Source organism: Homo sapiens, chromosome 21 (genome assembly GCF_000001405.40).
Source record: "Homo sapiens chromosome 21, GRCh38.p14 Primary Assembly".
NCBI lineage: Eukaryota > Metazoa > Chordata > Mammalia > Primates > Hominidae > Homo > Homo sapiens.
In genome coordinates, this window is record NC_000021.9 from 33,654,092 (window position 1) to 33,680,566 (window position 26,475).

At 41.4% G+C, this 26,475-nt stretch overlaps 1 protein-coding gene across 25 annotated transcripts in view, besides 1 other annotated feature; it reads left to right on the top strand.

Moving 5' to 3' along the window:
* The window catches only part of ITSN1 (intersectin 1), a 257,361-nt gene that overhangs the window by 11,591 nt on the left and 219,295 nt on the right, over positions 1–26,475 (top strand). The gene's annotated exons all lie outside the window — the stretch shown is intronic.
* Positions 2,680–3,179: an enhancer, noted in NCBI's record as "H3K27ac-H3K4me1 hESC enhancer chr21:35029077-35029576 (GRCh37/hg19 assembly coordinates)". NCBI's record gives its function as "activates a minimal SCP1, AML or CMV promoter by ChIP-STARR-seq in primed H9 embryonic stem cells {active_cell/tissue: H9 hESC(primed)}" and the evidence as "EXISTENCE:reporter gene assay evidence [ECO:0000049][PMID:30033119]".

Consider the following 26,475-nt stretch of genomic DNA (forward strand, 5'->3'; position numbering starts at 1 on the left):
GGCTGAGTGCAGTGGCATGACCATGATTCACTGTATCCCCAACCTTCCAGGTTCAAGGAATCCTCCCACCTCAGCCTCCCAAGTAGCTTTGACTACAGCCACAGCCACGCACCACCACACCTGGCTAATTTTTTTTTTTTTTTTTTTGGAGAGACGATCTCGCTGTGTTGCCTAGGCTGGTCATGAACTTCTGGACTCAAGTGGACCTCTCGCCTCAGCCTCCCCAAGTGCTGGGCTTACGGGCATGAACCGCTGCACCTGGCCTTTGATTTTTTAAATTCACTTTAATTATCTTAAGTTCTGTTATACTCTAGACTCTTAGCAAGAGTCTAGAATCAACGTTAGTTATTAGTTCCGTATTTTGATTATGAGACAAGGTACAAAGCTGAGACTGTGTGATGAGAACCTTTGGAATGTATATCTGACCCAACACAGATCCCCTAAGTGCCCTTCAACCTACACATCCAATTTCTTCCTACCTCCTTCTCTACACAAAAGACATAATACATTGAACTCGGGTTGGGCACCTGACCAACCTGGCCCAATCAGTGTTCGTTTCTTCCCTGGAAATTTGAAACTAGGCTCAATAGAGAAGGATTTGGCCTTAATATGCTCAAGGACCCTAAGTAAAGGATTGGGAGTTATAAGCAGTTATGTTCTGCTGTCTGGGGACTAAGAAAGATGATTTATGGATGGGGAGAATAAAGTAACTGTCTAAAGAGAAGCAGAGAGAACACTACCTGACTCTCTGACAGCATTAAGCCACTCTCTTCCAGTCTGTTCTTGGTCCAGCTGCATTCTCGTTCTTGAGTTCTTAAGGTTACCTCCTTCCCCTTGATTTAGGTAGCTGGAGTTTCTGTTACTGTGAACTAAACATTCTTCTCATTCTTACCACAATATTCTTTTTATGATACTACCTTGTCTCTTTTTTTTTTTCACTATGTCTAGGGACGTTGTGAATTTGTTATTATTTTCTCCATATAATAACATCAACAGTTAAGGATAGCAAGAAACATGGAAGTACCAAAATTTAATCTAATTCAGGCAATCACAATTTGATTGGAAAGGCCATTTTACAAATGCGGACTCTGGCTCGGACCTGTTTTAAACCGGTGTAGATCTCTAGCTGAGGGAAAACAGGAAGGAAGAAATTTTGAAGTTACTTTTAAATGTTGCAGAATTTCAGTGGTGTCATTTCCTTTCACATCCATATAAAATGTTGACCTCCTGCAAAAACCAATACTAGGGACATTCACAGTGTACAGTATTATGTGCATCTGTATAGGGGGTGAGTCTGAATTCTGTTCAAGTGTGTAGCCACTGAAACAAGATTTTTTTTTTGTTTGAGGCAGAGTCTTACTCTGTCACCCAGGCTGGAGTGTGCAGCGGTGCAATCTTGGCTCACTGCAATCTCTACCTCCTGGGTTCAAACAATCCCCCCACCTCAGCCCCCAGAGTGGGTAGGATTACAGGCACCACCATGCCTGGCTAATTTTTTTTTTTTTTTTTTTTGGTATTTTTAGTAGAGATGGGGTTTCGCCATGTTGGCTAGGCTGGTCTTGAACGCCTGACCCAAAGTGATCTGCCTGCTTTGACCTCCCAAAGTGCTGGAATTACAGGCGTGAGCCACTGCGAAGGGCCTTGAAACAAGACTCTAAAGTGTACTGTCGAAATACCAAGAAGTTGAATCACAGAATAGTTTACCTGGGGCTGGGCTTAGTTCTTAGATTAGCTTTCTGTGTCGTGGTGATGTCATGTATCAGGAATCCTTAACTTAAAAAAAACTCAGTGATAAGTTTAAGTAGTCCACTATCTAAATGCAGTTGGGTGGGGAGGTGGAAAAAGTGATAGGGAGAGAAAAAAGAGGATTGTAGGAGAGAGAAGGAAGAAAAAGGAAGGTTGCTTTATTGCCACAGTTTTCTTTATTCATAATTGTATTTGTATGAGCTTTTTCATTTCCAAGTGGAAGAAGCACAGCATTGAAATGTAGTGACTCACATACCTGTCAAGTCCAAGGATTCTGATTGGCCTGGCATGATCGTGTGTCTGAACCCATCATATGACCAAGGGAAACGTGTACTCTCATTGGCTCTCCTGGGCCTTGGGTCTACCTTTTCCCCCAGTTGGTGAGACCAGTACCTAAACTCGTGGAATTAACAGAAAGCATTAAAGAGAAGTAGGATCTGTCAAGAGGAGAAAAAAACGCTAGGCAGGCAAAACAGATGGCCTTTACTCAGTGTATGATCAGTGTCATACAAATTAATAATTAATAATTGAAGTTACTTTTAAATGTTGTAGTATTTCAGTGGTGTCATTTCCTTTCACATACATATAAAATGTTGACCTCATGCAAAAACCAATACTACAGACATTCACAGTGTACAGTGTTGTGTGCATCTGTATAGGGGGTGAGTTTGAATTCTGTTCAAGTGTGTAGCCACTGAAACAAGCTTTTTTTTTGAGACGGAGTCTCACTCTGTCACCCAGGCTGGAGAGTGCAGTGGTGCAATCTTGGCTCACTGCAACCTCTACCTCCAGGGTTCAAACGGTCCCCCCACCTCAGCCCCCGGAGTAGGTAGATCAGGTCTGTGGCGTGCCACTTGTTTTATTTATTTATTTATTTGTTTATTTATTTATTTGGCAGAGTCTCACTCTATCGCCCAGGCTGGAGCGCAATCGTGCGATCTCGGCTCACTGCAACCTCCGCCTACCAGGTTCAAGCAATTCTCCTGCCTCAGCTTCCCAAGTAGATGGGATTACAGGCGCCTGCCACCACGCCTGGCTAATTTTTTGCATTTTTAGCATTTTTAGTAGAGACGGGGTTTTACCATGTTGGCCAGGCTGGTCACGAACTCCTGACCTCAGGTGATCCACCTGCCTCAGCCTCCCAAAGTGCTGGGATTACAGGCGTGAGCCACCATGTCCGGCCTTTTTTAATTTTTTTATTTTAATTTTTAGATTCAGAGGGTACATGCACAGGTTTGCTATGTAGGTTTATTGCATGATGCTGAGGTTTGGGCTTCTAATGAACCAGTTGCCCAAGTAGTGAACATAGCACCAGATAGGTAGGTTTTCAACCCCTGCCCCCGTTTTGGAATCCCCAGTGTTTATTGTTCTTAATTTTGTGTCAGTGTGTACCCAGTGTTTAGTTCCTACTTGTAAGTGAGAACATGCGGTATTTGGTTTTCTGCAGAAGCTTTCTTGACCTTCTCCTTTTATCTCTGATTGTCAGTTTCCTCTTAGTTTCATTTCTTTCCATAAGCAGCTGTGACCTCAGCATGGGTCATTTCAGCTATTTCCTTGCCCTGTTGCTCTGTTACATTTAGGACTTCCCAATTCCCTTTGAGGGCTTCTTATCCTTAAAATGTTGCTGTCGCCAGGGCTTTTCATACCCTCTTTTGACATTTCACTGGTCTTCCACGGCAGTCATTTTCACTGTATTTATCTGTCTGTACCTGGAGCGGTGTCTTTTTTTCTAACCCTGCATCGTGTAATGATGATGTTCTGATAGGTGATTTTGTCTTTGTGCAAACATCATAAAGTGTATGGTTGACCTTTGAACAAGGGAGGGATTAGGGGTGTTGGTCCCCAACACAGGCAAATCCACATATAAGCAGGGCTCCGTGGCCCTTGCCTGTAATCCCAGCACTTTGGGAGGCCAAAGTGAGAAGGTTGCTCGAGACCAGGAGTTTGAGACCATCCAAGCAACAAAGTGAGACTCCCATCTCTACAAAAATTTTAAAAATCAGCTGGGCATGGTGGTGTACTCTTGTAGTCCCAGCTACTAGGGAGGCTGAGGCAGGAGGATTGCTTGAGCCCAGGAATTTGAGGTTACAGTGACCTGTGGTTGTGCCAGTGCACTCCAGCCTGAGCGACAGAGCCAGATTCTGTTTTTAAAAAAAATCATATAACCTTTTTGACTCCCCCAAAACGTAACTACTAATGACCTATTGTTGACCAGAAGCCTTACTGATAACATAGTCCATGAACGCATACTTTGTATGCTATATGTATGATATATTCTATTCTTACAATAAACTAGAGAAAGGAAAATAGTATTAAGAAAATTATAAGGAAGATAAAATATATTTACTATTCATTAAGTGGAAGTGGGTCATCATAACATTCTTCATCCTCATTGTCTTCACGTTGAGTAGGCTGAGGAGGAGGAAGAAGGGTTGGTCTTACTGTCTCAGGGGTGACAAAGGTAGAAGAAAATCTGAATATGAGTGGACCCACACAGTTAAAACTCATGTTATTCAAGGGTCAACTACTTATACAAACCGAGGTGGTATAGCCTACTATACACCTAGGTTATATGTATAGCCTATTTTGCTCCTTGGTTACAAACCCCTACAGCCTGTTACTATACTGAATACTGTAGGCAGCTGTAACACAAGTATTTACAGTGGTATTTGTGTATCGAGACATATCTAAACATAGAAAAGGCACGGTAAAAATATGCTGTTACAATCTTACGGGACCACGATTGTATGTGCAGTTCATCATTGACTCAAATGTTACTGGCTGCATGACTGTACCTACTGGATCCATTGGGCGCTTAAAACTTCAATACATCTAGAGCATTGCTCACCTGCCACCTTTCTTCTGACCAACCTCTTCCTCTGTCTGTATATCCCATCTTGGTGAATGATACTATTATCTATCCTTTTGTTCATTGTTTCAGCAGTTATTTATTGATTACTTACTGTGTGTCAGATAGTCTGTGGTATAATTTTATATCATTTTGTTCCTGATTCCTAGCACATAGCTTCCAAAATCTTTGGAATTTCCTGAGTGGTGGGAGTGTCTTCTTATTCATAATGAGTCCTTTTGGATCTTATCTGAGTTCATGCTAATGAACTGGCTCCTGGGGATGAGGGGCTGGACACCCTCAGAATTGGGGGTGGTCCGGAGGAAGCAGTCAGGAAACTGCAGGATTGGAGGGTTGGAACTTTCAGCCCTCCGCCACCACCAGCTCCAGGGAAGAGAGAGGGACTGGAAATTGAGTTCAGTCACGTGGTCAGTGATCTACTTAATCATGCCTATGCAATGAAATTGCAAACGAAAGCCCTGGAACTGTGAGGTTCGGAGAGCTGGGTTGGTGAACCCATGATGTGCAGAAAGGTGAGTGCCTATATTGCACAGAGGAGGAGAGGGCATGGAAGCTCTGTACTTCCTCTCCCCCATGCTTTGTGCAGTGAGTCTCTTCCATTTGGCTGTTCCTGAGTTGCACAGAGCTTTTCCATGTTCGGTGAGTTGTTCTAGTCAATTACTTAACTTGAAGTGGAGTTAGGGGAACCCCTAAATTTGTAGTCAGCCTGGCAGAAGTGCAAGACTTGAGGCTGGCATCTGAAGTGGGGAAGTCTTATGGGACCAAGCCCTTGATTTGGGGAGTCTGCACTAACTCCGGTAGTGTCAGAATTGAAATGAATGGTAGGACACCCAGTTAGTGTTGGAGAACATTTTTTAGAACTCAGTCTGCCTATAGTATTTTTGAATACTGTGTCTATACACAGTATAGACTTAGTACCTGCCCTTAAGCTAGATAGGTGAACAAGCAATTATAATTTAGCTTTGTAAGCTATTCATGGACTAAGTCAGCAGCCTGTACTTTTTTTTTTTTTTTTTTTTTTTTTGAGATAAAATCTTGCTGTGTCACCCAGGCTGGAGTGCAGTGAGATGATCATTGATCATGGCTAACTGCAGCCTCAACCTCCCAGGCTCAGGCAATCCTCTCACCTCAGCCTCCCGAGTGGCTAGGACCACAGTTGTACACCACCACACCTGGCTAATTTAAAAAAAAATTTTTGTAGAGATGGGATCTCACTGGTCTCAAACTCCTAGGCTCAAGCAGCCCTCCCACCTCAGCCTCCCAAAGTGCTGGGATTAGAGGTGTGAGCCACTGCACCCAGCCTGGATTCTATCTGATGCTGAAGTCGGTGGCTTGATTCTGTCAATTCAGCCTCTGAAAGGTCGTTTGAATTCACCCTTTCTAGCCCCACTGCTCTGGTCTTAGTCCAGGCCTTTATATATTTTTTCACTTTACTACTTTGCTCTTAATGGTTGCTGCTTCCTGACTCGTCTGGCTTCTCTGTTCCACTTCATTTTACACTCACATGTTGCCAAAATAATCTTTGTTATGTGCTGCTCCCACAATAAGATCTTTCCCCGTGCTTTTATCTCCTAAGGTGGTGGACCTCAAGCCTTTTGGTATCAAAACCCTTGTGTCCTCTTAAGTGATTGAGGTCCCCAAGGAACTTTTCTTCATGTGGATTTTTGTCTTATCATTGTCTGCCAGATTAGAAATTAAAACCAAGAAATTTACACTTAAAATAGCTGTAATAAACCTATTACATGTTAACATAAATAACATTTTTATGAAAACTGTTCACAAAACAAAAAAATTTAGTGAAAAGTGGCCTTGTTTTACATTTTTTGCAGATCTCTTTCATGCCTCACTGAATAAAAAGATGGCTGAATTCCATAACTGCTCCTGTAGTCAGTTTGTTGTGAAACGTTGTTTTGGTTGAAATAGTTGAAGAAAATCTGGCCTTATACAGATATGTAGTTGGAAAGAACAGGAGTCTTTTAGTGGCATTTCCAGAAAATTGTGGTTATTTTGTGATACTGTACCAAAACTTGACACTGGGTAGTTTCTTAAGGATTGGTTGCAGTGTAGAATCTGAAGTCATATAAGTGAACTTTTTATCCTCTGTTACAATAAAATCTGTTGATCCATCCTATACTTTGAATGGCTATTTTACCCCTGTTTGATTTGACCAATACATACAACATCATGTATTGGTCATTTGGAAAATACTGGGTCACTGAGTTATGTAAATCTTACAAATGTTGACACATTTCATTAAACAATATCACAAAATCGTGTTTGTTATCACCACCCATCTTATTAGAAAATTCTTTAAATGTTGAGAAGCAGTCTAGCTCATAATGGCAGATACAAGTTTTCCAAAATTCTAATTTTCACCCCAAATTCAAATTTTATCATGAACAGCAAGTACTGTCAGTTGTTTTTCTTGCAGCATCAGGCTTGCTTTATTTTTGAGAAACTGTGCCAGATACCCAAATCTGAATAATCATAGTTTTTTTTGGTTGTTGTTTTGCCAAATAAAAATCGAGTTCCTGTAAAAAAAAAATGGCTAGTTTAGCTCACAACTCAAATGATTGCACAGTGATTTTCTTGGACATTGTTGTTTGGTGTAGCACATAAATGCTTTGAGTATCTAGTCATACAAGCATTAAGCATGTGTACTCAAGGGCTGAGATTTAATAAAGTAATAATTTTTCATGATTCATCAAAGACATCCTGTTGTAAAACTGACTTTTTTTTTTTTATGTGAGTGTTTGGCAGTGAAGAATCCAGTGACCACACTGGTACAGTTTGGTGCCACTGCTAAGGTGGGAGCAGTTTTACCCACCATTGTTTTTGTATCAGTGTAAATAAAATCACAGTGAAAAGAGCAGGTCTTGCCTGAGTACCATCATGATGATATGGTTTGGCTGTGTCCCCACCCAAATCTCATCTTGAAATGTAGCTCCCATAATTCCCATGCGTTATGGGAGGGACCTGATGGGAGATAACTGAATCATGGGGGCAGTTCCCCCATACTGTTCTTGTGGTAGTGAGTGAGTCTTAGGAGATCTGATGGTTTTCTAAGGGGTTTCCCCTTTCATTTGGCTCTCATTTCTCTCTTGTGACCGCCATGTGAGACATACCTTTTGCCTTCCACCATGATTATGAGGCCTCCCCAGCCACCTGTAACTGTGAGTCCATTAAACCTCTTTTTCTTTATAAATTACCCAGTCTCGGTGAAAATGAACTAATACACGTAAGAATTTTGACCATCTGAACCCCCATGAAAGGGTCTTAGGACTCCCAGGGATCCACAGACCACAAGAGAATTGCTGCCTTGTAGGATAAAATCTAAACCTTCACTCACAGTTTAGAGTGCATTATGCTGTATCCCTGTTGACCTTCCCCTTTTCCTCTTCTATTTCTCTTCCATCTGGATCTCACCATAGAATGTTCTTTTGTCACTTTAGCTTTACAGTTTATTTCCCTTCTGCCTCCCCCTATCTGTCCCTTATCCTTTAGGCCTAACTGGGTGTTACTGAAGTGAAAATACCCGTACCTGCCGCAGCTATGAGTCATTTTCCCTTTGATTTCCAGCACTGAACTTTTGGCTCTACCTCTTTCCATCTATTTTCTAGGGACCTCTGATTTAAAGTTCCGAATTTACAAATCCCATCATAACAGGAAAGCATTTTACATCCCTCTTGTGACTTAAACTTAATTTATACTAATATTTTTCATTTTGAACCTTCTTATACCTAATTAAATGAAACATTTGAGCAAATAGGTGATGGGGTATTGCCTTTTTTGGGGTCTTCTGTTCTGTCAGAAATGGTATTATAGTTAGGTCTAGCCCAGGGAAAAAACTGATTTCCTTTAACAGTTATTTGAATGATACCCATTTTCCTAATCAGGAAGGTTTCTTGGTATTATCTAGGTACTGGGTTTTATGCTGCCAAGTTCATCAGTTAAATGGCCTTTAGATAAAGGACAGGTTGGAGTTGTGCTCAGCTCATATAAAATGTGCTTTAGAAGGACTTCTGGTATTATCTGACCCACACTGCCCCTCATGTCACACATGTTTCTGCACGTACACAGGATGAGTACTGAGTACCCTTCATGTTTCAGGGATTCTGCAGGTCTTTCACATATGCCATCTAAAATTTGTTTTTCACAATTTTGTGAACTAGATGACAAGATCCTTGTGTTACAGATGAGGACCTCGAATTTGCTGCCATTTGTGTAATGAAAATATAAATGGCATAGTGAGTAGCTGAACTTAAATAAAAAATCATTGACTTACCACATAAATAATAGTATTATAACATTATAAAACAAGATTTGGTATAAATGAGCTTTCATCAGTATAGACACATCTCAGGCATTAGTCTACCTTGCCTAGAAGGAGCAGGAATTATTTATTGAGCACTGTTTTGGATATATACTGAAGTTCCCTCAAATTCTAATGTCTCATAACTCTTCAGGCAGTTATAGTAATTGCTGGATATACCAGGAAGTTATGCCTGTAATTACTGCTCAGAAATGAAATATGTAAACTCTAGCATTATATTCATACTGGTTTTATTATGAGATATATTACCTTTTAGATTTCTTATAAGATCTATTTTTTAGATTTAGCTTACAAAGCCATTAACTGTTATAAAATTATACTGTAAATTATAAGCTTTAGTTAGATGGGCCGTTAGGCATAGCTTTGCTGGCAACTGTAACCTTTTATGATTGCAGTCAAAATGTAATCCAGATGCTCTTCGTAATAGACCATTGAGTCAGAATATCCTGAATATTGTTTTGCAGGTTCAAAATGTTGGAAGAGATCTGAATCAGGATGATAAAATGACATTCACCCATCTGATTTTGGGCTTACTTCTTTGTGACATACCTAACCTGGTGATTAAATTCTTTTTTTTTTTGAGATGGAGTTTTGCTGTTGTTGCCCAGGCTGGAGTGCAATGGCACGATCTCGGCTTACCGCAACCTCCACCTCCCAGGTTCAAGCAATTCTCCTGCCTCAGCCTCCCGAGTAGCTGGGATTGCAGGCATGCATCACCACGCCTGGCTAATTTTTTGTATTTTTAGTAGAGACGGGGTTTCTCCGTGTTGAGGCTGGTCTCGAACTCCTGACGTCAGGTGATCCGCCCACCTCGGCCTCCCAAAGTGCTAGGATTACGGGCGTGAGCCACCACACCCGGCCTCTGATGATTAAATTCTAAAACCAAGAGTTATTTAAAAGATTTTGTAGACAGTGGGGGTTGGAACTTGAAAGTGACCCATCAGCTATGTAGCTACTAGCATTTTCCTAAAAAGTCCTCAGTGAGGCAGCTGGACAAGGTTGAGAGGCAGGCAGCATAGCCAAGGGATTCTGGAGCCAAGCTGCTCAGCTACTGTCTTAGCCCACTTCGTGTTGCTGTAATAGAATATCTGAGGCTGGGTAATTTATAAAGAAAAAGGTTTATTTGGCTCACAATTCTGATGGCTAGGAAGGTCAAGTTAGAGCATCCGGTGAGGTCCTCAGGTTGCTTTCACTCAGTGTGGACTCCTGAATGTGATGTGGATGTGAAGAAACTGGAATCCTCATACATTGTTGGTGTGAATGTAGCTTGGTGCCGCTGCTGTGCTAAGGGGAGCTAGAGAGTGCAGAGGTCACATGGTGAGAGAGGTAGTAGGAGCGGGATGGGAAGGGGCCAGGTTGTTAACAGCCAGCTCATGTGAGAACTAAGAGTGAGAACTCACTCACTCTTGGGGAGGGCCTTAATCTATTCATGAAGGATCCACCCCATGACCTGAAAACACCTCCCACTAAGCCCCACCTCCCTACACTGCCACAGTGGGGACCAAATTTCAACCTGAGATTTGGTGGGGACACATAGCAGTTACTAGCTGTGTAACCATAAGCAAGCTATTTAACTTTTCTGTGCCTCAGTTTCCTCATCTGTAGAATGAGGTCGATCACAGTTCCTGTCTCATAAGATTGTTGTGAGGATGTTAAAACAGCGCAGTGCCTCACTAAATAGTAAACACTGTATAAGAAATGATTGTTATTATTCTTATCACCTGTGATCCAAGCCTGGAATTTATAATTTAAGATACGAATGAAGTTATTATATGTAGTTTTGTTACCAGTTGATTATATGACCTCTCTTAATTTCTCAGTTGCTCTTTCCATCATCTGGAAGCTTCGCCATTTGTTTTAACCTTTGAAGAGATGAGAGGAAAAGATGCATGATAGGCTTAAATTGCTCTCATCTACTTATAAAAAATAATTAGACATAACGTGGCCAGGCGCAGTGGCTCACTACTGTAATCCCAGCACTTTGGGAGGCCGAGGTGGGTGGATCACGAGGTCAGGAGTTCGAGACCAGCCTGGCCAACATGGTGAAACCCCGTGTCTACTAAAAATACAAAAATTAGCTGGGCGTGGTGGCGGGTGCTTGTAATCCCAGCTACTCGGGAGGCTGAGGCAGGAGAATCGCTTGAACCTGGGAGGTGGAGGTTGCAGTGAGCCAAGGCCGCACCATTGCACTCTAGCCTGGGTGACAGAATGAGACTCTGTCTCAAAAAAAAAGAAAAAAATAGACATAATGCAAGATAACGTCATTAAAAAGTGGGCAAAGACCTGAGTAGGCATTTTTCCAAAGAAGATATCCAAATGGTCAACCAGTACATGAACAGATAGATGCTCAAAATTGTTAGTCATTAGGGAAATGGAAATCAAAACTATGAGAATACCACTTTACAACCATTAGTATGGCTATCATTTTTTTTTAAAAAGGAAAATAACAAGTATTGGTAAGGATGTGAAGAAACTGGAATCCTCATATATTGCTGGTGTGAATGTAGCATGGTGCCACAGCTGTGTAAAATAATTTTTCAGCTCCTCAATTAGATAGATACAGAGTTATATGGCTTAGCAATTCCATTCCTAGCTATATACCAAAAGAAAACAGGTGTTCAAACAAAAACTTGTACATAATATTCATAGCAGCATTATTTACCATAGCCAAAAGGTGGAAACAACCCAAATGTCCATCAACTTTTGTGCATCAGTGGACAATGTGGCATATTCATATAATGGGATATGATTCAGCTATAAAAAGAAACGAATGATATATGGTACAGTATAAACGTACCTTGAAAGCATGTAGAATAAACATGAAAACATGTATAACATAGATGTACCTTGAAAACATGCTAAGTGAAAGAAGGCAATATACTGTATGGTTCCTTTTTTTTTTTTTTTGAGAGGGAGTCTCGCTCTGTTGCCCAGGCTGAAGTGCAGTGGCATGATCTCAGCTCACTGCAACCTCTGCCTCCCAGGTTCAAGCTATTCTCGTGCCTGAGCCTCCTGAGTAGCTGGGATTACAGGTGCCCACTGTCGTGCCCAGCTAATTCTTTTGCATTTTTAGTAGAGACAGGGTTTCACCATGTTGGTCAGGCTGGTTTTGAACTCCTGACCTCAAGTGATCCACCTGCCTTGGACTTCCAAAGTGCTGGGATTACAGGTTTGAGCCACTGCACCTGGCCTGTATGGTTCCATTTATATGAAATACCCAGAATAGGCAAATCTGTGGAGACAGAAAGCAGATGAGTAGCTGGGGCAGAGCATAGGATTTCTATTTGGGGTGATGAAAATGTTCTGGAACTAGATACTGGTGGTGGTTGCACAACTTCATGATTGTCTGAGATGTCACTGAATTGCATACTTTAAAATCAGTTCAACAGTAAATTTTATGTTATTTGTATGATGCTGCAATTTAAAAAAAATAAATATTTCGACATGACGTTTTTTCCAAGTTTACCTTAGTTGTAATTTTGCCAAAATACTTTCTTAAACCATTTTATTGTAATTTTAGGCTAAGATCATTTGCACTTTATATATAGTTGAATGAAATATATCGTAGTTGTTTTATTCTCTTGTAAATCTAGAAAAGATGAAAAATGAAAGCCATGAGAGTTTTAAGTATGTCTTTGCCTTGTGCAGATATTCTCAAAGGGTATTGTGGAGCCCTTGGGGCTCCTTATGACCTTTTCAAAGGGTCTGCAGGTTCAGGTTATTTTCATAGTAATTGTTGAGAGTTATTTGCTTTTCAAATTTTTATTTATTTATTTATTTAGAGACGGGGCTTTGCTCTGTCCCCAGCCTGCAGTGCAGTGGTGCAATGACAGCTCACTGCAGCCTCGACTTCTGGGCACAAGTGATCCTCCTGCCTCTCAGCCTCCCAACTGGGACTGCAGGGAGGCATTGTTTTACATTTACATGCCACCATGCCCGCTAGTTTTTTTATTTTTCATAGAGATGGGGTTTTGCCACATGTTGCCCAGGCTGATCTTGAACTCCTGGGCTTAAGTGATCCACCCCCATCTCGGCCTCCCAAATTCTGAGATTACAGAATTTGTAAGCATAAGCCACCACACCCAGCCTATTTGCTTTTTTTTTTTTTAAACTCTTTTTCTCCACAGGTGTAAAGTGTAGTTTTCCAAACGCTCTATAATATATGATGGTGTAGTCTCTTTGTTGGCTAATGGTCTATGTACTTGTATATGTCTGGATTTTTTTGTTTTTTTTTTACAATTCTCTAAGGTAAGCTCTTTGTGATCCTCAATAATTTTTAAGTGTATAAAAGAGTCCTGAGGCCAAAAAGTTTGAGAACAAAATGTCTTGGTAAAAAATGTATGTGCCAATAATGAAAAAGCATATACGAACTACTTGTATTATATATTTTTGAAAACAGAAGGAAAATAAATTGTAAGCCAAATGACTCTTTTGGCTGCTTAGCTTTTATCATCTTTACTGCTTCAGAGGTTACTAGATTTGGAACCAAAGTGTACTTTTTGGGATGCGGTAGGTTTCTGGTTTTAAAAAAGGATGTCTGGTATTGATTAAATCTATAGTTTTGAACTTTCTAATCCAGCAGCTCTGTGGAGTAGGTACTGATACTTGGATTTTATAACCAGGGCACAAAATGGTTAAGTAACTTATCTGTGGTCCGACGGCTAGTAAGTGGCAGGTCTGGTGTTTGGATCCATGAAGTCTGTTTCCTGAGTCTGCACTGTTCACAGTATGCGATCTATGTAATACCGCTCCTTATGTACATTGTATAATAATAGCTCCCTGGGAATGTATGTGTGAAGTTCCCATTTGGAAGGCTGGCATCGTAGTACTGCACTGATAGTGGTGGCAGTGATTGTGAGGTGGGTTGGGTTCTGGTGCCTATGGCAGGGGCTCCAGCAAGCAGATGGTTAGAAGACAGATAGGGAGCAAGGATAGGAGGATGGGCTGCTATAGGGGCCAGACCTCCTGCCCAGGATATTTCTGGTCCAGTTCGAAAGTTGGACCTTTCCTTCCTAGAGATTGGCTCCACTTATGGCTTTATAATAGGACCTCTTCCCCTTCTGGAGTCCTTTGGAGCAAGATGCATTTTCACAGTTTTCTCCCAACCTCTTTACTTGAGTCTAGCACTTACTGCCTTTGAACTTCTCTGAGGGTTTTTACTACCAACTAGAAATGAAAGAAAAAGTTGAAGAGGGAGATGGTATTCAAAAGATAAGTGATACAAATTGGAGTCTTTTAGGATTCATATTATTGAAACGCAATTTGTCAACCTCCCTAAGAGGGTCACATCACTGTGGTGTGGGCCCCCCCAAGGCATGTCATCACTGAGGTTAGGATGGGCTCTCTGCCATGAGGAGTAAGCCAGTGCCTCCAGCTACTGGCTAGAAACAGGGAGTGTTGTCAGGAGATCTGCACTGGGGCTGAAGGACATCCCCGCCTACTTCCCTTTTGCTCTTCTTACTATCAGTCTTTACTACCGCAGATCCCTTTCTAGGGTCCACGACCTTTGCTGGGGTAAAGTGGGATGCAGGGATGGGGCCTGGGGATGCTCTAGGCAGTTTGCATGAAGGAGTGGCTCCATTGGTGTTAAAGATTAGGCCTTCTGATACTTTCTTCTCCACTTGTACTTTGAGTTAAAGGCTCTTACCTCAAGAGATTTTCTTTACTCTGTGGCCATATCTGTAACTGTCCTTAACTCTCTGTGCATGGCAGCCCCAAACCTTCCCAGTGGAACAGTGCAAGCTCAGAGCCTTGCAGGTCAGTGACCCCACACTTGGCACAGGAATTCCAGGGAAAAGTGTGAAAGGGCAGTAGGTGGCTCCTCCGTCCTGCTTCTTTGAAAACCTCTGACCTAAAAGGTTTTTGAAGCTGAATATTTAAAGAAAATATGTATGAGATTGTAGAGATAGATGCCTAGGCGGCTGAAGGGGATGTGGCAAGTGGATGGCCTCCCTCAGGGCTCCTTTCCACCTGTGGTGGCCACAGGTTCAAGACTCCTGTCCAAACATTCTGGTTTGTTTATGTGTTCCAGAAACAGACAGAGAAGAAGGTATTGTATTTTTTGAGACAGTCTTGCTCTGTTGCCCAGGCTGGAGTGCAATGGTGCGATCTCTGCTCACTGCAGGCTCCGCCTCCTGGGTTCAAGCGATTCTCCTGTCTCAGCCACCTGAGTAGCTGGGATTACAGGTGTGCGCCACTATGCCTGGCTAATTTTTGTATTTTTAGTAGAGATGGGGTTTCACCACATTGGCCAGGCTGGTCTTGAACTCTTGGCCTCAAGTGATCCACCCGTCTTGGCCTCCCAAAGTGCTGAGATTATAGGTGTGAGCCACCATGCCTGGCCCAAACTGGTATTATATCTGCATGAAAAAGGGTCACTGTGCCAATACTTTTTTCATTTAAGTTTTTTTTTTTTTTTGAGACGGAGTCTCGCTCTGTCACCCAGGCTGGAGTGTCGTGGTGCGATCTCGGCTCACTGCAACCTCCGCCTCCCGGGTTCAAGCAATTCTCCTGCCTCAGCCGCCCGATTAGCTGGAATTACAGGCATGCGCCACCAAGCCCAGCTAATTTATTTGTATTTTTAGTAGACATGGGGGTTTCACTATATTGGCCAGGTTGGTCTTGAACTCCTGACCTTGTGATCCACCCACCTTGACCTCCCAAAGTGCTGGGATTACAGGCGTGAGCCACCGCTCTCGGCCCTCATTTAAGTTTTAATATGTTTGTGGGTAGAAAACGTCTTAATTTTTTTTTTTTAATCTCAGAAAATGACATGTGTTGGTGTTGAGATCTCTCTTGAGTGGCTTCATCATTTGTTCGTATGCCCAATGTAGAACCTTATTCTTTATCCTGAATTCCTTCCTCCCCCTTACACCTGATTTAATTGTGCACTATTGATCTGGCTTAGTTCTGGAACTTCTCTCACTCTCACTCAGGTGTTGCCCTAGACTCATAGGTGCTCTCTCTCCAGCCAGTTTTGACCTCTCCATATCTTTTTCCATTAGAGCAGTAGTTGTCAAACTTTTTGATTAAAACTGAGAGGCCAGGTGCCGTGGCTCATGCCTGTAATACCAACAGTTTGAGAAGCCCAGGTGGTAGGATCACTTGAGCCCAGGACCAGCTTGGACAACATAGTGAGACCTTGCCTCTACCAAAAAGTAAAAAAATTAGCCAGGGGTGGTGACATGTGCCTGTGGTTCCAGCTATGTGGGAGGCTGAGGTGAAAGCATTGCTTCAGCCCAGGAGTTGGAGGCTGGATTGAGTCGTGATTATGTCATGACACTCTAGCCTGGATTACAGAGCAAGACACTGTCCCAGAAAACAAAACAAAACAAAATCTGAGAAATTACTTATTCCCTAATTTATGATTTGGTTATTAACTTATTTAAAATGAAAAATAAACCCATGTAAAGTTAGTATACATAGCTTTTTAATGAAAATCGCTTTTTTTTTTTCCCAAAACAACAACATAAAATGTAGTCGGAAGAGTGGCCATCGTTCACTTATGTGTTGCAGACCTCCTTAATGTCTGCCTGGATGGAAGAGTTTCTCATCCAGTGCATACATGCATGAATCATTGCAGCCAGGTCTCAACCCTGTCAGACAACACTCTCTTTTTGTAGTAAGTCTTTGGTAATGCTTCTTTTATTCTTAAGAAATGTATTCATCTCAGAATTCAAATGAAAGTAACATACTAACATGATAATAGTTCAGTGTGTCAGTGTTGTCTCAGCTACACTAGGATCACATGCTCACTAGGTCAGGTGCACTGAGAATGCAGTGGCTGCAAATGCACACGGTAGAGGTACATTACTTGGTGATTCAAATATCAAGAAGGGCATTAGATGTAATGACATGTTCTCTAAAACTGTGAGCAACTTTTGGTAAAATACAAAACAGTCTTTTGATTTATGTGGTAATTATATTCCTAGCAAATTGAATGTGTAGTGAAACTTGGAAAAAGTCTTTTGTGATTCTGTGTGAAATGGAATTTGGTTTTAGGTTCCGATAATTATACATGGGGTTTTCCCCTACATTACTATCTAGAGAAACATTCAAAAGTCGTATGGGACAATTCCTCATATGGGACTGTTCTGCACAACCTGTTAAATAAATGCCAGTGGTGCCTCCCAGCGAATGAGACCACCAAAAATACCCCACGGATTTTCACACATCCATTAGGGAATGGTACATACCTATTAAGAACACTGATAAGTGGAATCTTGGCTGTATTTTTTTTCTTGTTTTTTGTTTGTTTGTTTGTTTTGAGACAGAGTTTCAATCTTGTCACCCAGGCTGGATTGCAGTGGTGATCTTGACTCACCGCAACCCCCGCCTCCCGGATTCAAGTGATTCTTCTGCCTCAGCCTCCGGAGTAGCTGGGATTACAGGCGCCGGCCACCACGCCCGACTAATTTTGTATTTTTAGTAGACACGGGTTTCACCGCGTTGGTCAGGCTGGTCTTGACCTCCTGACCTCAGTGCTGGGATTACAGGTGTGAGCCGCTGTGCCCGGCCTGTTTTGTTTTTTTAAGTTGGATGATAATTTAAAAAATAACTTACAATACAGCCTGACCAACATGGTGAAACCCCATCTCTACTAAAAATACAAAAATTAGCAGGCATGGTGGCGCACGCCTGTAATCCGAGCTACTCAGGAGGCTGAGGCAGGAGAATTGCTTGAGTGAGGTTGCAGTGAGCTGAGATTGCGCCATTGCACTCCAGTCTGGGCGACAAAGCGAGACTCCGTCTCAAATAAATAAATAAATAAATAAATAACTTACAATAATAATTACTTGAATCTCACCGTTAATCAGTGTTAATATTTTGTTGTATATCCATCTTGTCCTTTTTTGTACATTTGTAGTTTTTTTCCATTCAAAAATGGGATCATTTAAAAATTTAAAAAGAGTCGATGTCTTGGCTGGGCACAGTGACTCAACGCCTGTAATTCCCAGCACTTTGGGAGGCCGAGGTGGGCAGATCACCTGAGGTTGGGAGTTCAAGACCAGCCTGACCAACATGGAGAAACTCCGTCTCTACTAAAAATACAAAATTAGCCAGCGTGGTGGTGCATGCCTGTAATCCCAGCTACTCGGGAGGCTGAGGCAGGAGAATCGCTTGAACCTGGGAGACGGAGGTTACGGTGAGCTGGGCAACAAGAGCGAAACTCTGTCTAAAAAAAAAAAAAGAATTGATGTCTTGATGCTACTTAATTTTATCTAATTCACGTGTTTTTAAAAATCATAACAAAATCAGTTTTATTCTTCATTCTATCATACAATTAGTACAATCTCAGGTAAGATGCAAACAATGTATACTCATAAGTCTCTTTTTAACATGAAAACTGGTGCTACCTAGGGAAGTACAAATGAAACCACAATGAGGTACCACCTCCAACATGTTAGGATGGCCATTATAAAAAAAGACTGAAATAATAAGAATTGGCCAGGATATGAAGAAAAGGGAACGCTTGTACACTGTTGGTGGGAATGTAAATTGATATGAAGCAGTTATGGAAAACAATATGGAAATTCCTCAGAACATTAAAAATAGAACTACTGTATGACCCAGCAATCCCTATACCCAAAGGAAATGAAATCAGCATCTTGGGAAGATATCTGCACTCCCATGTTCCTTGTGGCATTATTCCCAATAGACAAGATATGGAAACGATTTTTTTTTTTTTTTTGAGACGGAGTCTCCTTCTGTCGCCAGGCTGGAGTGCGGTGGCGCAAACTCGGCTCACTGCAACCTCCGCCTCCCGGGTTCAAGCAATTTTTCTGCCTCAGGCACCCGAGTAGCTGGGACTACAGGTGCGTGCCACCACGCCCTGCTAATTTTTGTATTTTTCGTAGAGATAGGGTTTCACCATGTTGGCCAGGATGGTCTCGATCTCTTGACCTCGTGATCCACCTGCCTCGGCCTCCAAAGTGGTAGGATTACGGGCGGGAGGCACCACGCCTGGCGGAAACGATTTAATAAGTGTCTGTTGCCAGACAAAAAAAATAAATTGGGGCATATACATCCAGTGGAATAGCCATTAAAAAGGTGATCCTGTCATTTGTGACAACATAGATGAACCTGGAGAGCATGCTGCTAAGTGAAATAAACTAGAAAAAGAAAAGAAAAATATTGCAAGATCTCACTTATATGTGGAATCTGAAATAAAGCTGAATATGTAAGAATAGAGTGGCTGAGTGGTTATCGGGGGAAGGGGAAGTGGGAGATGTAGGTCAAAGTTGCAGTTACATAGGATGAATAAAACTAGAGATCTAATATTTAGCATGATGACTCTGGCTAATATTGTATTGGAAAATTTGCTGAGAGTAGATTTCAGGTACTCTTAACACACACACGTAGCTATGTGAGGAGATGGATGTATTACTTCTGACTGTAGTAGCCATTTCACTGTGTATATGTATAACAAAACATCGTGTCATGTACCTTAAATTATACAATAAACAAAGAAGAGGTGCCGGTTTGAAGGGGCGAGGACAGAGCGTGGACTTGCGGAAAGTTAGGTGGCCTTGGTGATTTAATCTCTCAAACCTTCGGTTTTCTTATCTGTAACACGTATTAGAGAAACTGTGTCTTGTCGGAACCTACCCCTCAGTGGGGGTAATCCCAGCTGTTTGTCCTCAGCTCATTTCTAACTGAACTGCAGGCTTCTCAAGAGCAGCCAGGATGTCACCTTTTCATCACCTAGCACCAGCTCAGGACCTGGCTCATTAATTTATTGAACAAATGAATGTGGCAGAAAATTTGCTATTGGTGTTGGACTGTGTTTAAACTTTGTTTCATGTTTATCATGGTTAAACCTCCATCAGAGGTAAACAACTATGTTAATTATTACATCAAACTTCTGTACATCTTGCCCCAAATGGGATCATTTATTTGTTCAGGATAAAATGTTTTTGAAGTTTTTAGCACACCTGATAGTTGTATTTCTTCTAGATTGGGCTTGGATATTGTTATTACTCAGGAATCTGGTTGAATGTTTGATTGTATAACTCTGCCTTTGACATATGTAATTAAATGAGTTTGTATTTAATGTGTTCCTTGAGGCAGCCAGGTGTATTTACCTCAGAACTGTTGAAGGCTTGCCATGTCTCTAGGACTCATTGGTACCTTTAAGGCATCTCTACAGGTATGATTTTCTTTTACTGTGGATTCTTTTTTTCTTTCAAAAGTTTTTCAGCTGTTAGATATTTAGCAGCTCAGTCTGTTTGAATGATTTAATGTGTTACTATTGAAAATTACTTTGAAATACAATTTGACTGTTTTCAAGAGAGTTTGGATTCTGAAGGCCCACAGCGTATAGGCTGAAACAGTGGTTCTCAAATCTAGCATGCATTCACTGGATCTGGGACAGGATCCAACAGTTTGCATTTCTAACAAGTTCCCCATTAATGCTGGTGCTGTTGGTGTGGGGACCAGACTTTGAGAACTATTGGGCTAAAGTGTGGAAGACAATTAAAAATAATAATATGGAGGGGAAATGGGGCCCAGTGTGTTTGGGAACAGGATCCCTTTGTGCTCTCCACAGACAATAGAGCAGTAAAGAAAAACTGGTTTTGGCACCTGAAAAGAAGGAAAATAGACATAAACTTTAGAAAATACTGTTTGATAGTTGCAGTGGTCCTTAAAATTAAGATAGGAGAAGAGATTTGGAAATAATTTAATTTTAAAAAGTTTATTTTACCTTTTTTATTATAGGAGTAATGCATGTTCATAATGGAAAGTGTCATAAATACAGAAACATTTCTATTCTAAAAGAGAGGAAAAATTTCCCCAAAGTATCTTCTGACATTTTTGGCAATGTCCATTCAGTATCTCTTTTATGTGTAGGACTTTTGTTTTTGTTTTGCCATGAAATAAAGTTTTTATTGTCAAAATAATATATGCTCATTATAATGAAAGAAAAAGAAAGATCATAAAGGACACTCACTCTTTCCAGAAACAATACTGATAACATACTGAAGTTTATTATTTGGTATCTCTTCATGTGAATATATCCATTTATGTGAATTACCTTGACCATATGGTTTTATAACCTAATTTTTTCAGTCACTATCTTTTCATATCATTAGATGTAATTCTGAAGCATCTTTTTTAGGCGCAGAGTATCTTACTCTGAAAAACTTTGTTGTAGCTGATGCTCTTCATCCACTGGCCCCTCCCATTTCTCATTTCTCTACTAGGAATTTGTAGGTCAAAGAGCATGTAAAAATCTTGATATGGGCCGGGCACGGTGGCTCAAGCCTGTAATCCCAGCACTTTGGGAGGCTGAGACAGGGGGATCATGAGGTCAGGAGACCGAGACCGTCCTAGCCAACACGGTGAAACCCTGTCTCTATTAAAAAAAAATACAAAAAATTAGCCAGGTGCAGTGGCGGGTGCTTGTAGTCCCAGCTACTTGGGAGGCTGAGGTGGGAGAATGACTTGAACCCGGGACGGGGAGCTTACAGTGAGCCGAGGTTGCGCCACTGCACTCCAGCCTGGGCGACAGAGCGAGACTCTGTCTCAAAAAATAAAAAATAAAGAATAAATCTTGATATGTATTACCAGATACCCACAAAGGGCATAGAAGTTTCTGTTCTCACTAGTAGCTGTGTGCCTGTACCCAGACCCCAAGTCTATGCTCATTGCCGGTTTAATAATTGCCAGCCTGATAGGTGAAAATAGTATCTTTTCATTCACTTCTTTTACTGATAAGAAGCTTAACACTTTTCTTCATGTGTCAGTTGGTCGTTTAAATTTCTTTTGAATTTCTGCTCTTGTCCTTGTCACATTTTCTTTTGGGGTTAATCTTTTTTCTTGATTTATATGAACTCTTCATACTTAGGGACATTAATTCCTTACATCATATGCTTCAGATATTTGTTTCCAAAATTTCATTTGCTTTTAAAACTAACTTGTGGAATTTTTTTTCTTTCATAGAAGTGTTTTAAGTGTTTCATAGAAGTGCCATCCACTATGATTTTCCTTTTTTTTGTTTTTTTTTTTGTTTGACATGGAGTTTTGCTGTTGTTGCCCAGGCTGGAGTGCAGTGGCACGATCTCGGCTCACTGCAACCTCTGCCTCCTGGGTTCAAGCGATTCCTGCTAATTTTTGTATTTTTAGTAGAAACGGGGTTTCACCACGTTGGTCAGGCTGGTTTCAAACTCCTGACCTTAGGTGATCCCTCCGCTTCGGCCTCCCAGAGTGCTAGGATTACACGCATGAGCCATTGCGCCTGTCCTGATTTTCCATTTTTAAGGATTTCTGCTCATGGTGTCAAATGAGAACATCCCCTGTCACTTCAAGATTTTACGAATATTAACCTGCATTTTCTTCTACAACACTTTCTCTTTTTTAAAAAACGTTTTTAAAGGTGGAGTTTTGCTAAGTTGCCCAGGCTGGTCTTCAACTCCTGGGCTCAAGCAAACCTCCCACCTCAGCCTTTCAAAGCGCTGGGATTATAGGCATGAGCCACCGTGCCCAGCCTCTGCCACACTTCCATGATTTCATTTGTTCACTAGGGTCTTCAAACTGTCTGTAGTTTGTTTTGATGCAAGCAAATACATTTATTTTAGTGTGGCCAAATGTAATTTACATTTTTAAATATTGAATTATTTTGGTTGCACTGTGCAAACATTAGGCAAATTTAGGTATAAAGTTGGAAAAAGCCACTAAGTGTCACACTGTTCTGAGGAGCACTGGGAATTCTGAGAAGGCTTAAAGAGTTTGCCATGGTTTTCTGTCCTTGTGATAGTTTGTTCGGAATGATGGTTTCCAGCTTCATCCATGCCCCTACAAAGGATGTGAACTCATCCTTTTCTATGGCTGCATAGTATTTCATGGTGTATATGTGCCACATTTTCGACAGAAAACCAAACACTGCATGTTCTCACTCATAGGTGGGAATTGAACAATGAGAACACTTGGACACAGGGTGGGGAACATCACACACCGGGACCTGTCGTGAGGTGCGGGGAGGGGGGAGGGATAGCATTAGGAGATAAACCTAATGTAAATGACAAATTAATGGGTGCAGCACACCAACATGGCACATGTATACATATGTAACAAAACCTGCACGTTGTGCACATGTACCCTAGAACTTAAAGTATAATTAAAAAAAAAGAGTTTGCCATGGAAGTGGAGGTCAGGAGAGGGGAGAACTGAGCAAGTATGTGGGTATTTCCAGCTCCTACTTCTCCCAAGAACTGCAGGCTTAGATGGGCAGCTGTCTAGTAGGCAGATCTTCTTGGGCATCTAATAATAAGCTGTTCAAAATTAACATAGCCAAAGCAGAATTCTTTTTTTTTTTTTTTTAAGACAGAGTCTCACTTATCACCTAGGCTGGAGTGCAGTGGCATGATCTCGGCTCACTGCAAGCCTCGCCTCCCTGGTTCAAGGGATTTTCTTGCCTCAACCTCCCGAGTACCTGGGATTACAGTTGTGTGCCACCATGTCCAGCTAATTTTTATATTTTTAGTAGAGACAGGGTTTCGCCCTGTTGGCCAGGCTGGTCCCAAACATCTGGCATCAAGTGATCCACCCGCCTAGGCCTCCCAAAGTGCTGGGATTACAGACTTGAGCCACCGCACCCAGCCCAAAACGGAATTCTTGATGCTGTCCCCACCCTAATGCGCACACCCCAGTCCTTTCTCGTCTTAGTAAATAGCGCTGTCAAACACCCATTTAGGCAGGCCAGAAACTTCAAAGGTGTCTTTGATTCCGCTCTTCCACCACTTTATATCTACTCCATCATGAAGTCTTGTAGACTTTCTGTCCAGAATATATCCTGAGTCTGACCACTCCTAATCATTTCCACTGTTAAAACATTAGGCCACCACTGTCTCTCATGTGGGTGTTTATTGTGGTCTTCTGGACGTTGTCTTGGTTCCACTTTGTCTCTCCCTGTAATCTGTTTCACATAGTAGCTTCTACAGTGTAAATAAGATCATATTATTCCCTTGATTAAAACCTTTCAAAGACTTCCCATTACATTTAAAATAAAATCCAAGCCTTACTATAAAAGATCCACTTGTCTGGCCTCTGTGCTTCTCCAGTTTCTTCCTTCTGCACTCCCCTTGTCTGCTTTGCGGTAGCCTAACATGTCTCTTTCTATCTCTTGAACAGGTTCTTTTCTTTCGTTGGGTCTTTATACAGGCTGAACCTCCTCTAGAACTAACTAGAAGCTACCTCTGATGTCTTCTCAGAGAGACTTTCCTTGACTATCCCCAGGCACATGAAGAAGCCCCACACACCCCCTCTAGTCACCATCTATCTTGTTAACCTTACTTATTTTCTTAAAGTGGGGTTCTGTATGTAAAATGATCTTCTTTATTTGTTTACTGGTTTATTAGCTGTCTTCCTATTCGAGAATGTAAGCTCCCAGAGGACACTCTGTTTTGTTCACTTCTGAATCCCTAGCACTTAGCCCCGTGCTTGGCCCATGACATTTGTGGTAAGTACTAGGTGACCATTTTTGGAACTGTTCCCACCCCACGGCCTGCATTCACACTTTAATCACAGCAGCTCAGCTTTTATATCGTGAGCTTCAGTGGGAGGTTTTGTTTACAGAAAGTTTTCTTGGTTGACAAAAGCCTGAAGATGATTTTCTTGGAAGATGAGGATTTATTCTAAGGATATGTGAGGAAGCAAAGTTTTTGTTGTTGTTGTTGTTTTGGAGGGGTGGTGGGGGATCCGAGTCTCGCTTTGTCATCCAGGCTGGAGTGTAGTGGCGCAATCATGGCTCACTGCAACCTCTGCCTCCCGGGTTTAAGCGATTCTCCTGCCTCAGCCACCTGAGTAGCTGGGATTACAGGCATGCGCCACCACGCCCAGCTAATTTTTGTATTTTTAGTAGAGACAGGGTTTCACGGAAGCAGAGATTTTCTGTCAGTGTTCCATCTACTTCATAATGTATTGTTGATATGGTTCTTGATTTTTTAACCTGAAGGCATAAGCATGAAAATAGCATAATGATTTTTCACAGTTCCTGTCCAAGAGTACTTTTTCTTTACATGTTGAATTACCTACCATAGATTGTTTTATCCTATAATTAGAAAGATTATGAGATTACATCATCTTATATTTACCCTTAAAGAGTGTTTCCCGAATCATAAGCCAAAGCCTTTGTATAACCTTATTATGTAAATATTTATGTTTCAGGTGTGTTATTCCCTTTGTGTGTGTGTGTATCTATATACATATATATGCATAGTATTTGTGTTCTCTTATTCCTATGACATTGTAAACGTTCTAGTTGATGATGTCTGTGCTTCCATTGCAACTCTTCACTGCATGGGTACTCTGATGTGTATGGCTTGCTGCTCCCCAGATATTCGTTGACTTTGTGACATCTGTCCTAGGACAATTTCACTATTTTAGTTTTTGGCTACTCAGTTAATTAGAAATGCATCTCAGTTGTATTTTAAGTTATTGCTTTCTACATTTTAATCAGTAAATACAAAGAGATTGCCTTTAGTTTTTGTTATGTGTATTTTCAGGTTATGTTACTGGGAGTACAAAGTTTTACAATTGTTGCTTTCTTTGTGGATTATAGGTTTTAGGAAAATAAAATTTATCGTATTGACAGTTTTTGCCTTGAAAGGCTTATTAAATTTAGCAGTCCTCCCTTTTTTGTGTGTTTTTTGATCCTTATCCTTTTTTTTTTTTTTTTTTTTTTTGAGACGGAGTCTCGCTCTGTCACACAGGCTGGAGTGCAGTGGCAGAGCTCACTGCAAGCTCCGCCTCCCAGGTTCATGCCATTCTCCTGCCTCAGCCTCCCAAGTAGCTGGGACTACAGGTGCCCGCCCCCACATCCAGCTAATTTTTTTGTATTTTTAGTAGAGACGAGGTTTCACCGTGTTAGCCAGGATGGTCTTGATCTCCTGACCTCGTGATCCGCCTGTCTGGTCCTCCCAAAGTGCTGGGATTACAGGCGTGAGACACCGCGCCCAGCCCATCCTTTTGTTTTTAATCTGTCATTTTATTTTAGGTGCATTTCTAGTTCGCTTGGCCTGCTGTCTTTTTCATAACACTTTATTCCTATGTAATAGATATAATGTTCTTTTGCATTTTATTGTTTCTAAAGCAAATATCTTCTAATTAAGAAAAATAACTTCTAGTTAATTTATTTCAAGGGGAAGCAGTGGGGGTTTTATTCCTCTGGATGTTTGTTGTCTTGTGTCCTGTGGAATATTTTCTTTCTGTTTTTGTTCTTTTCTTTCTCTAACTCAGGACAGTGCTGAGGAATGTTTTCATTGGTGCCGTATTTTCTTTTTCTTTCTTTTCTTTTTTCTTTTTTTTTTTTTTGAGACAGGGTCTCTGTCTGTTGCCCAAGCTGGAATGCAATGGCGCAATCTCGGCTCACTGCAACTTCTGCCTGCTGGGTTCAAGCGATTCTCATGCCTCAGCCTCTCGAGTAGCTGGCATTACAGGCATGCACCACCACACCCGGCTAATTTTTGTGTTTTTATAGAGAAAGGGTTTCGCCATGTTGGCCAGGCTGGTCTTGAACTCCTGACCTCAA